Here is a 13,565-nt window from a genome sequence, read left to right as displayed (position 1 = left end):
CTGACACCTTCCTTTCACCTTTTCCCTCCTTCTAGTCACAACCATGTAGCTGCTTCTTAATGGCTCCATAGATTACACAGATTCTTGCCTTAGTCTTCTGTGTCCTCAGGTGCTGGGCACTTGAAGGTACTCATTAAGCATTTGCTGTGTTCCAATACTGACATGTCCGTGACAATTCTTTTTGGACTTTTAATCATTCTTAATAAACTGAGCAGCAGGATCTTCTGGTATATTTTACTTATTATATCAAGAGCCTTTGCTGGCTGGGTAAACAGCAGAGCACAGATCTGGGCTCTGGAGAGTTACAAAAGAGGGGCAAAACACCAAACACCATCCCTACCTTCAAGGAGTTTATAAATAAATGGAAAAAAGAAGTCACATGAAAAAAATATTTAACTCTACACACACCGGAAGGCAAGAGGATCCAGACAGAAAACTGAATCCAGGGTAAGAATGTAGGGTAGGATTCAAGGCTGGGCGGAGAGAAGGTGGTTTCTGGATTATTATGAAGCAGTCATTGTCTGAACTGTGCACCACACTTAGGTTTCTTTAACAGTCTCAGGCTTGCTGTGGACACTGTGCTTTTCAGAACACTTTTTTTTTTCAAATGTAACTATATACACAAATATGTGCTATATATATATATATATATAAAGAACAATACTTAGGCTCTTTGAACTCCAGTGTCTTAATTTGTAAAAAGTACAAAAAGACCTACCTTACAGAACTGTTGCATTGTTATGAAGATATATATATATATATATATATATATATATATATATATATATATATATATAAAATCTCCATATATAAGGGAATGCACTACATAAAAGTAATTATAATTAAGCTATTGTGTCTAGAGTTACGGGTTAGGTACCTAAGGAGTATACTTGAGCCTGTTTCGTTTCTATCCTAATAGAAATTTATAGATCATGAAAACTTAGTTTTGTCATCTGAGAGTCATCCTGGAAGGGAGATCCCTGAGGAGGCAATTCCACTGTTTCCCCACTATATTCTCTACTGTGCTGCTCTATTAATCATTTCAAAATTCATTACTCAAAACTTTTAATGGGTAAAATTCCAACAGTTCTAGGATAGAATTTAACATCATTTGTAATGTCTCTGACTTGTGTTTCTGTCTTTTCCTACAAGTCTTCACTACCCTTCTAACACTCCACCATATTGGGCTGTTTGCTGGGTTCCAAATATGCCATACATAAAATATGCCAGGCTCTAGTTATGCCATATAGCTTTACTTTTAAATTTCATCTTTATTTCAATACCGACATAGGTTTGAGAATCTTTGTAGTTCCGGTGTTGCTGGAAAAGGGGTCCTGATCCAGACCCCAAAAATGGGTCCTTGGATCTTGCAAAGGAGAGAATTCAAGGAAAGCCACAGAGCATAGTGGAAGAAGTAAGTTTTTCAGAAACCGTTTCGTTACAGTGTGGGATATCCTCTGAAAGCAAAAGGAGGAATGCCCTGTCCTTTGTTAGCGCCTCTACTTTTATAAGGAGTTACAAAGAGCTACAATTAAACTTGGAATGTGTCTATGTGCTCACTAAAGGCAGGGGCCTTCAGTGTCATTGATATTACATGACCCTTAATCTTTTAACCTAAGCTTGTTCATTAACGTTATCTCTAAGTAAGGAGGGCTGAATTCTTAGGACATAGGGACATTCTGCAGGCATGGTGGGAGATGCTCTGTATGGTCATAAATATTCTGTAATAATAGGTTGTAGCCAGCTTGGAAAGTGGCTATTTTCAGACCACAAGCATTAATCTTATAGGTGCCTTAAGAGTGTTCTAGCTCTTCACTTCAAGATGGAGTCATTCTGGTCATACTTCATTAGACCAGAGGCCTAGTAGGCAGGGGTTCCTTCAACATCTGGAGTACATTTCCTTCCCCATTTCCATTCTAATTCACATGCTACCTCTACTATAATGTTTTCGTCAAACTCTGCCCTATTCAAAAAATGGCTTTACTCATATGGCCAACTCAGCACATATCACATTATTTACAGCTATGTATCCACCCTGCCCTTAGAAGCAAGGATCATAGTCCTATTTTCAAAGTTCCAGCAGAAATGATAGTACCCAGTACACCAACAGGAACGGAATTGGTGTGACAGTTGTATCAGTTAGCCACAGCATTCCATGAAGAACATCGAAGGAGATCTCTAAAATAAAGTATTACCAGTAATCTTTGATTATTAAGCCTCTTCAAGGGGACTAACTACAATTAGCCTCTTGATGTAGACATTTAGAGAACCATCATATTATCCAAATGACTCTCATAAAACTTTCAAATGGATGTAATCTCATTTCATTTCATTGTGTGAATATATGAGATAGATATTAATATATTGGAAAAATGAGAGAGCAATCTTGCAATGATAGTAAAATAGACAAGTGCCCAGGAGCTAATAGGCTAAAGTTAAACCAAAACAGAGGTAGGTCAGTGCCATAGAAAACAGGTAAGTCACACTTCTAAGAGTCAAGAAAAATCCAAAAAGATCTAGGAATCATGTTGAAATACAAGTTGCTTTTGGATCATCAGTGGAGAGTTTCTTTCAAACTCGGGTTTAAACTATACCAAGGAGACATTCATCTATACAGGATATATAGGATATCCTATACATACATAGGAATATATATATTCCTATATTATATTATACAGGAAAAAAACTTTCCAATATTGTAGGCTGTGAAACAGGAGCAATTACAAAGTAAACTCACTAGTCAAGAGAAAAATACCAAGCAGTAGGTTAGATAGAATTCTGAATGCAATTATCTCCACAACACACTGCCAGATGGCTACCAAAGAATAATGGTCCCATCTGACTTTTGTAAGAAACAGGGAGGAGACAAATTTTAGGCAATGCTTTCCCCATGGAAGTTAAAAACGGAAGTCTAAATAGAGTTCTAATAATGAGGAATACTACTACTAACGACCTTGGAGGTTTTTCCTAGCATAAGAAACCGTGTCATCTGCACCCATTTCTGGAAAAATGAGTAAATATATCTTTATATAGTTCTCATAATCTTCTGTTCATAAAGTTCAAATTGTTTACTCTTGAAACATACTCATAAATTGTTTACATCACCAAGAGTTCTTAGCTTTGGGGCTGTCTAAATTTAAATATTATATTCAAACAATCAAAATGTTTTACACTGATTTACTAATTAAAACAAAGAAAAAAGACAAGACACTTTGTATCACAATTTAAAATGTGCAAGGAAGTTAGGATAAATATTTATTTCCACATAACATTTCTTAATTGTGAAAAACACAATATCCTAGTCACATTTACACATTATTTAAACTTGGCACTAAATTACATTCAAGATATTTAGTAATTTTGACCAGGAATCTGAAATTAGAAGTAAATATATAATACTACATTTTTATTATATTTTATATGATTTCAAAATATTAGGATTAACATAGGGATAGCTTTAAAATTCACACAAGAACAAAATGACTATAAAAATACTCAGAAATACAGAATTTCATTGGATATGATTGCTTATTCAAATAGGTGATCATGTGAAGATTTAAATTCACTATGATCATTTTTAACAAAACAGTTATTAATATATTAAAACACTAAGAGGCTGCTTTGGGGAATCACTGGCTAAATCATAAAACAATGGAAATGTTTACAATGTAGTATCTGTATTATAAAATACACAAAGGCAACACATTTGGAACAGAAAGTTTCTGTATTTTTTCAGCATTTATAAATACAAACTTTATTAACTTAAAATTCTTCTTTCTATAATTTTTAGGCTCATGTTCCATAAAAAGGGGGGCTCCTTAAAGAATTGTGAGGGGAATTTTTAAAAGGTCTCAAAATGTAGAACTTAATGGAGACTTTGTTGATTTATTTCCTCCCATTAGTTTAATCACAAGAGGAACTTTTCTTCACTTTTCATGTGCACTTCCAACAGAGTACATAATTAACGGTGTGTAAAAGCCACAGGGCTCTGAATTATTATAAAACGGAATATTGGAGTATTATAAAGTTGATGATTACTACTCATTCTTAGGAACCAAGAGCATTATGAGATTTAGTTTTATTAACTTCACATTCATTGAAAGTGAAATCAAATACTGTACTTTTAGTAATGTCCAAAACTTCATAACTTTCTCTCCCCTTATATAAGTTTAGTAAAGATGTATTATTTTATATGGACTGAAATATCTACAGAACCTTCTCAAATGGAATCTGAAATTTCATTTTAAAAGACTGTTTTTCCACAACATGCATTTAATTTAAAAGTGGAAAAAAAAAACTCTGCAGAAAAAAAATGACAATTGGAGAGCTGTTGGTCTAACATGAGAACATGATTCAGGACCAGCATTAAGCAGTGCATGACCATTAGCTGCAGAGTAACTGTACAGGAGTGGAATTTCATATACAATGATTCACCATGTGGCATTCCACAAGTATGTATAGAATATGTTTATTTGGAAAACATCTGTTGTCAGTGGGAGACAAACTTAGTATATTTCTGATAAAGGTTTATATTGAAAAATCCCACAAAACTGTTACAAAGTTTTTCTAAAGCATTTCGTACAAGCCTAGTATTTGATCATTAGTCACAACTTGAATTTTAAGCAAATACTACTTAACTCTGCATTATGTCTGATTGTCCTTAACAAGTTGTAAATAGGTTTCTATATATTTTTCAAATGACTTTAAGTTTTAGTTACATATAAATTGTTAAGTATTAAATTTATCATATTAAATCAAGGAAATGCATAAATACAATTATTAAAAAATGCTTTCAAACTAACTTTTTGATTTGGGTCTTTTGAAATAAGTCACTAATGCTAAGCTATAAAAACTAAAAAGAAGTAAGACTACCTTTCAAAAATTCTTCTGAATGAAATTATCAGGCATCTTCAGGTCACTAAAGTAGGAAAATACAAACTAGGTAAATATGACTTATCTCTTTAAGGAAGCTATTGCTCTCATAAAACTGACAATCAGAATCCAGTTTACAAATGTCTAACGTACAGCAAGGAACACACAGATTCTTGCATTGGCTATTGTATCTGCTCACAGGGATGTCTCACTGCTCAGAAGTTTAAACACAGAAATGAAACAAGTATTGCACTACTTACAGTATGAAGGTGGATTTGGGTTGAGGGACAGAATTTACAATACATGATCAAAGCAGTTTTATTAATAATTGTGACACTCTTCTCATATATATGTAAAAAATAAATTGAAGATCGAGTCATAGACAAGTCTCCCTGTCAACACCTTTCCCTGAGTCAGCTTTCTTCTCTTTTCGGCTTTCAATGCTACAGAAGGAAAAAAAGGACACATTTATTACTGCAATCCAGCATGGCTACTATGACATCTGCTTGCTCAGACATAAAACCCGTCAACCCCAAAGCACCACAAGAGCCCGTAGGCATTGCTCTCTCATGCTGCGAAGCACAGATAGACAGCAACAATTAAAATCCTCTGCACTCAGTGAGATAGAAACCAAGAACTGCAGAGAAGGGGAAATTCAAAAACAGACACTAAACAACAAAAATCAGACATTTTTTAAACAGTTCCAAAAACATGCAAGATTAATACCATGGTCCTCATTTGGGCAAGTGACTCACTGATGATAGTTGAAAATGTCAGCCATGCCCCCATCTTAAGACAGTGCCAACTCTAGTAAATGACACAAACAAGATGTCGCAGGAGGCATTTCTGGGCTCTGCTGCAAATGGCTCCTCCCTTGTGCATGGACTGGATCCTGACCTTTGATGAAGACTGTACCTTGGCCAGGTTAGACAGACAGCTCCACTGGCCTGGAGGACAGGTTACCATGCACGCTGCTCTCCAGACACCTGTGCTATCTCTTTACAGACAAACCCTTACCCTGTGCATCAGAGGAATGATGCTTCACCTCACTCCTCAGACAAACTCATTCCCAAGTTTAATCTCACCCTCTGTTTAATCTCACCCTCTCATTAACTTTACCAATTTCTGTTTAATCTCACCCTCTCATTAACTTTACCAATGAGTAAACTGGTCATGTGACTCTACCATTTTTGTCTGTTTGGTTCAATATTTTCCCATCGTACACTTTTCTTACTCTCATGCTGACAATTTTTCATGGAAAATTCAAACAATATCATTACAGGGATGAAGTTCACACCATGTTCCAGAGAGGGCAGAAATGCTTTCTCCCTGATACTTGCAGCACACAGCAAAACCCTCCTCATCTGAGGCTTCTATGTGACCCTCCCCACTGCTGACACAAAGGGCAGCCCATAGCCAGCTACTGAGGCCCTGGGCTGTAAGTATCCATACATTTTTACTGTTAACTTCGGCCCTTAATATAAATTTATGAAACACTTGACAATGGACCGCACCCTTGGTTTTATAACTCTTCTCCAAGTAATAAAGTAATAAAACTCCATTTTTCTATGGGGCCTCCTGTACAACTTTCTAAGTGGTCAATAACTTAGACACATTCTAAGAGTGTGTTTTTTAAATTGTTTTTCCTCCAATTCAAGCTAGAAACAGCCCTTCTCAGTTGTCACCACCACCCGGCACCATCAGGTAAGAAGTGCCGGAGCTTCTGCCATCTGTGGCACGCTGCCAGCTCTGAGAGCTGGTGTGAGCGCGTGTCTATGGCGCCCGGGTTTGTGCCTGCCACACTTCTCAGCACATACTACTTACAGGTCAGAGCAAAGCAACTTTCCTCCCTTTTCTTTTCTCCTTCCATGAGAAAAGATGACAGTGTGCACATGATGTGTTGAGAGCCCTAACTCGTATTTTTAACTCCTCTATCTGTATGACTCACTTTCTTCTACTTTAAGTTCCTTTTATATGACAAGTGTATGCTCTCCTGCTTTCCAAATTAACTTTTCCTTAAGCTCTACCTGCCTTCCAGTCTCTTTTGCCAAACAAAGTCAATGAAAAAGGGCAGCACTGGGCTTGGTGTTGGAAGATCTAGGTTCAGTTTTCAGAAACTCAGAATGAGCTGCATGACCTTGGACTAGTTATTTAATCTCTCTGAGACTTGGTTTCTTCATCTGTAAAATTGGTTTTGGACTAGATGGCCTCTAGGCTCTCTTGTAGTGAGAATTCCAGAATTCTGAGGCTGGTATTCCCAATTCCAATGAACTCTTATTTTTTGAAAGATAGAATAACAGATCCTATATGTAGGAGATTGTAGGACAGAGATATACTGGTCTCTACACATGTGCAATTACTGTGTGCACAATACTTTGAAACGTGGGAGGTGTTCCATAACCTTTTGATAAATGAATGTGTGCCAAGTGGCACTATTAGTCACCAAGTCATAAATAAAAAGATTCATAATATCAACTTGATCCATAGATGTGCTTCCTCCTGACTCTGCTTTGGTTGTTTGGTTACAAAACAATAACCTATTAAATGTCTGGGTTTTTTTCCCTCTTCATCATAACCATAGTTTTGGTATCAGATTAGATTTCAGCAAACTATGAAGCAGAAATTTTATAACCAGCTCAAGACCTCTAGGATCCATTGTTCGGAATTACTTGTTAAGTTCGCTTTTGTGGAGGCCAATCAATTTTAAGCTTTCATTGTAACAAACATGTATTATGCATCTGTTATCTGTCATTGTAATAAACATATGTTGCATATCTATTATATGCCAGGAACTCCATAATGACCTAGGAGTACAAGATAGATAAGAGTGTCCCTGTCCCTGAGGAGTTAAAATTTAAAATATAAGGAAGTAATATTTCAAGAGGGCAAAAAGTGACCTGGTACTGTCATGATGCTAAGTAAACTATGAAACTATTACTTTTTAATGTCACTAAAATAGTGGTTGTTTTTTTTGAGACAGAGTGTTGCTCTGTTGCCCAGGCTGGAGTGCAGTGGCACAATCTTGGCTCACTGCAACCTCCACGTCGCAGGTTGAAGGGATTCTCCTGCCTCAGCCTCCTGAGTAGCTGGGATTACAGGTGTGCGTTACCATACCCAACTAATTTTTGTATTTTTAGTAGAGATGGGGTTTCACCATGTTGGCCAGGCCGATCTTGAGCTCCCGAGCTCAAGTGATCTGCTCGCCTCGGCCTCCCAAAGTGCTGAGATTATAGGCCTGAGCCACCACGCCCAGGCTAAAGTTGTTTTTATGAATAATATTTCCAAGAAGTCATGAGAGAGCCTAAGCCTAGGCAATCAGAGCAAAGAAAGAATCTGGGATAGAAAAAGGTGGTGGGGGAGTGCAGGGGTGGGTGTTGGGGGGTAGAGCGGATAGTCCCAGAGACTAGCCTCTGTCACCAAGGCAAAGCTAAGTGCTGCTTTTCCTAACATTGCCAAGGACCTCCAGACACACTGATCTTGGGCATCAGTTTAAAAAACGTAGCAGTTGCTAACCTATTCTGATGCAATGTGGTCGTTAATGAGCCCTATTTTCACCAGCCCATTTAATAAGCTGCAGAGGCTCTTGTCACATGCATGTATGACATCAGGATCAAAATTAGACATCCTCCAGATAAGACAGAATTTGCCGTTAGTTCTTAGATTCTACTGTCAGTTAAACGAGATAAAATATTTTTGACAACAAAAAGTGAATGATATAATTGAGAAAATATAATTTCTATTCAAAATTCCATGAAAAAAGGGTTTCTAGGCTTCTCTGACACATTACAGCACAGGATGGAAAATAACTCAGAATGGGGGGTGTCAAAGGCTGCATGGGTGCCAGCTCAGGACTCAGACCTTAGTAACCTGCTCTTTGGGTCTCTTTTTGCCAATGGATACTCTACCACGTACTAAATTTTCACAGTTCCTGGTCATGATGCTTTAAAGCCTTTAACAGATACCACAAAAAGGAAGTGGCTTTGGGAGCCTTATTAGTATCAGTAGTTTTAGAATTCTGTAAGTCATACACTTTCTGCCAGAGTTTCTACTGTAATGAGGATAAAAGAGATTAACTACCAACCAAAAGATGTTTCTCACATGGAAAACCACAAATGCGATCACATCAAAAGGTAAGGAAAGCTGGATAAACTTTCATTCCACAATAGTCTGAACCTCACGTCAGTGAAAGTACATTTAAAGAATAAGAAACAAGTGGTTATATCTAAATATAAAGGATAGTCTATTGAAAATTGGACCTGCTTTAAAGCACATTATATTGTTCACTAGAGTCAACCCACTATGTGAAGTCATCTGGATATATATTTTTAAAACAAAAAGATTTTTCTGGTGAAAAGTATCACTTGACTTTAAGGAGTAGCTAAAATATCACGTCACAAGACTTTTGCTTGAACCAAAGAAAAATAGAGGAAAAGTTTGGACTTTGAATCCATATAATACAGGAAGAAAATTTTTTACAGGTTTGTTTCAAATTCTCAACACATTGACCATCAAGGGCATTTTATTTTGAGCTCATAAACCTGGATTTAACATTTTCTAAAAAATCAGAGAAATGTCGTATTTTTCATGTGACAAGTACACATTTCAATGGGCTTGAGAAACTGCCCTTCTCATAATTCTGATTTTCTTCAAAAGTACTAGCAAAACAGAGAATTACTATGAGAAATATTTATCAGACTGTAGCAAGGATCTTTGAGAAAGGAAGTTAAAGCATGTTTTAGAATAAAATGTTACTTTGTCCTGAGCCAAGCAAAGAAATACATGAAAGTTTTAAAGTCCTATTAAGACAGAAAATACCAACCAAAAGTCTTTGAGAGGGAGCCCATTGAGTAATTTATTAATATATTATCTTCATTTGTAGTAAATATTAAAGGTGGTTGAGAGAGAGACACACAGAGAGAGAGAGAGAACTAATTCCCAGCTTCGGGGATGAAGATTCTATGCACTTGCTGTTTGTCTCGTCTTGTTTATACTGTTTGGTATAGAGATGACACTGAAGCAGCATGCCATTTTGGGGTGACAAAAACCAGCAATAAGAGATATATTCTCTAAGTCTAATGTAGCCTCTTTCTCTTGCCCATGTTTCCAGTGATGTCTCATGAAGTGAGATACGGCTTGCCAGTCTGGAGGCATGGTGGTACATAATGGAGGCTCTCAGCTTTGCAATTTCTTTCTTTCTTTTTTCTTTTTCTTTTTCTTTTCTTTTTTTTTTTTTTTTTGACAGAGTCTCTCTCTGTTGCCCAGGCTGGAGTGCAGTGGCACAATCTCAGCTCACTGCAACCTCTGCCTCTTGGGCTCAAGCGATCCTCCTGCCTCAGCCTCCAAAGTAGCTGGGATTACAGGCATCCGCCACCACGCCTGGCTAATTTTTTTGTATTTTTAGTACAGAAAAGGTTTCACCATGTTGACGAAGCTTGTCTCGAACTCCTGACCTCAAGTGATCCGCTCACCTTGGCATCCCAAAATGCTGGGATTACAAGCATGAGTCACCACACCAGGCAAGCTTTTCAATTTCTTACAGGGACAAATTTAATTTTCCCTATCCAGAAATTTGATGCCATTACTAACTACAGTTCTGTGAAACTTGTTGATTTATACATGATGCATCTGTATAAATCAAGGAAGGAATAAAGTTTATTCAAGTTTCAGACTAACTTAAAGAGCTGAGTTGTTACAGATATATCATCAAACTCAGTCTGCTACTGGATCTGAGCCCAACACTCTCCATGCCTTTTGCCTCCCCAAAACTCACACAGAGGACATAGACTGACCAGGTTTCTAGAAGACACCATTTAACATAAGGAAATGCAACCAAGGAATAGATTTGAGGGAGAGGGTCTTACCTTTGGGGAATCAGCTTCTAGAGTGATTAGGAAGGGGAGCTTATGACAAAAATGTAATATAAAAATTAAGTAGAAAAAGTTAATTTAAGGTTACGAAAATAAAGGAACTTTATAATTATAGTAAACACTGTCCCAATTCCCTCAATCACTCTCTAACAAAAAGAGATATTAGCATAACATAGGAATTCCTCTTTCTTCAGATCAGCATCTAAGAAGACTGGGTGACTTGAACTCTTATTTATAAATCCTAGAAGATTCACTTGGAAATCCTTTGATGACTGTTGATATTTAGGGACACACTCTTCCTCCAGCATGCACTTAAAACTACCATCCACAACTACAGGAGTTGTTTGTACATTTACACACAGAGAAGAAAGAATGGATAGAACTTTCAGGAGTTGAAAGTTTTGGGATAAGAAGTTTAGGGAAGACTTTCAGGGGGTTGGAGTCAGGACTAGAACTATACTAAATATAAATATTTATGCATATTTATAAAATATAAATATAAAATACACACAGTGCATATCAGTCTAAAAAAGGGAAAATAAAGGAGTGCAAAATGTGGCCAGATGTCTAAAGGGGTCCTGGGGGAAGTGGGTGATGAGGGAATAAAATAAAATCATACTGAAAAACAGTAGGCCAAGATGAATGTCCAAAAATGTCATGCATTGTGACTCATTTCTAGCACAGTTCCCCATACCACAGTTGGTATGAAAAACATACCAACATTTGAAATAATTACAATTTCTACCCACTTTTGGAAAGAATTTTCTGGAATATTTTATATCTAAATTTGATGGAAACTAATATTATTCTTTTGCTTATGGTTTATGTCAAAAAACAATTGGAATTAGTATAAATTCTCATTATTTTAAAATCCAAACCTTTTGGAAGGAAAGCTTGACTCCTTATCTTTTGAGTTATCGGCAGTAATCAGAAGGTTCCTCCACAAGGCAGTCTTTGACATTTCATCAGATATATTGATCACAGATGGATCATCTCTAGACAGGAGTTTCCCCAAATGAAATAATAAACATTACATAAGTAACTGCAGTTTTTCAATGACAGAAACTAAATATAGGGCAATCATATATCTATGAAGAATATTTTTCCCAATTTTTAAATTGTGGTAAAATACACATAACATAAAATTTACTACCTTAACTATTTTTAAAAGTACAGTTCAGGGTTACTAAATACATTCATAATGTTGTGCAACCATCACCACCATCCATTTCCAGAACTCTTTTTATCCTATAAAACTGGAACTCCATACCCACTAAACCACAACTCTCCATTTCCTCTTGTTCCCGGTCCCTGGCAACTATAATTCCACTTTCTGTCTCTAGGTTTCTGACTTCTCTAAGTGCCTCATATAAGCAGAATCATACAGTATTTGTCTTTTTGTGACTGGTTTATTTCAGTTAGTACAACATCCTCAAGGTGCATCCATGTTGTAGCATATGTCAGAATTTCCTCCTTTTTAAACCTGGATAATGTTCCATTGTATGTGTATGCCCCATTTTGTTTATTGTACAATATTTTTGATAATTAAAAATGAAGAAGTATTGAATATTTCTCTCAATTATTGAAAACAATCTGTGAAAAATAAAAAAACTAAAGAAAATATTCTAGTTGAATAGATACTGAGTTGGCCTGTGGTATTCTTAATTCATTTCAAATTACAGAGAATGGGTTCCGCATGTCCATTGCTTAAACGCTTGCCCCTAACATCATAGCAACCAGATCACTTCCCTCCTTTGCTCAGACCTTGCAGTGGCTCCCAGTCACTCAGAGTCAATGCCAAGTCCTTATAATGGCCTAAAGGCTCTGTCCCCACCTCACTCTGATTTCACCTCCTGCCACTGCATCCCTGCTCACTCCTTTCCAGCCCCATTTCAGTAGCCTCCTGACTGTTCTGGAACACAATGGGCATGGTGCTGCCTGGGGGCCTTGTCCTTGCTCTTCCCTCTGCTTATCATGTCCCTTCACATGGAGCAACCTTGCCCCTTCTTTGTTCAAATGCCGCCTTTTCATATGACCCTGATTGGTGATAGGTCACAGGAGAGGAACAAATGCAACTTTTAAGAGGAACAAAACCTTGGGTCTCCCTCTCTTGCCCAATCTGGAAATGTGTTCTTCAGTTCCTCTAAACCCTCCAGCTGTTTTGGTCTTCCTAGAAAGATAGTTTCCTGGTAATTCAAAGCACCAGATTGACTACTTTCTTAAAAAAAGCATCATGTGGAATAGACATTTTTCATGATATTATGTGAGGAAGAGTCTTCTGAGCAAAAGATTTTTTTAAATACTTGATTGAACGAAGCTATACAATTTTTTAAAATGCAGTACTACTTAGATTGTTTCATTTGCTAATATGCATTGTGAATCTCCAAACTGGAATGCAGTTTGGCACATTTTTTCAAACTTATTTAACCACACAGCCCTTTCGAGAGTGGTATCACACAAGACTAGGTTTCTACCTAATACACTTGGAAATATGCTGGTTCAGCTAAACAATCAACAGGATTTTAAAATTTAAATGTTGTAAAAAAGAAAAAAAAGATAAAACATCTTATAGTTGTGCCCCCTCTTAAGAGGGAGGTAATCACATTTTCTTAAATTCTAGGGAATATAATCTTAGAGTCAGACCCTAAAGATCTAGAAAATTCTCTCCTATTTTGGTTTTTAACACTATGACAAATTCCCTTCTCATAAAAAAGTATTCTCTGTATTTTTATTGGCATAACCTTAAATTATTCATAAAGACTTTGAGACTATAAAATTGGGCACTAATTGATACTTAGAATTGTACAAGATAACCGTTTAAACTAA

The 13,565-nt window shown here is 36.7% G+C and overlaps 1 protein-coding gene across 27 annotated transcripts in view; it reads right to left on the bottom strand.

Annotated features, from left to right (window-relative positions):
- The window catches only part of SLC4A10 (solute carrier family 4 member 10), a 360,855-nt gene continuing 350,513 nt past the window's right edge, over positions 3,224–13,565 (bottom strand). For 12 of the 27 annotated variants that reach the window (NM_001354461.2, NM_001354447.2, NM_001354441.2 and 9 more), the window contains 3 exons: positions 11,618–11,734; positions 10,734–10,772; positions 3,224–5,315 (listed from right to left, as the gene is read on the bottom strand). In NM_001354461.2, coding sequence (NP_001341390.1) covers positions 10,760–10,772; positions 11,618–11,734 — 130 coding nt within the window. In that variant the 3' untranslated portion in view covers positions 3,224–5,315; positions 10,734–10,759. The remainder of the gene's footprint in view (positions 5,316–10,733; positions 10,773–11,617; positions 11,735–13,565) is intronic. The other 15 variants (XM_005246694.4, NM_001354445.2, NM_001354443.2 and 12 more) reach the window with 2 other exon arrangements.

This window comes from Homo sapiens, chromosome 2 (assembly GCF_000001405.40).
Source record: "Homo sapiens chromosome 2, GRCh38.p14 Primary Assembly".
Lineage (NCBI taxonomy): Eukaryota > Metazoa > Chordata > Mammalia > Primates > Hominidae > Homo > Homo sapiens.
Note: the sequence above shows the minus strand (reverse complement) of the source record. Positions and strands in the feature narration are given on the sequence as shown.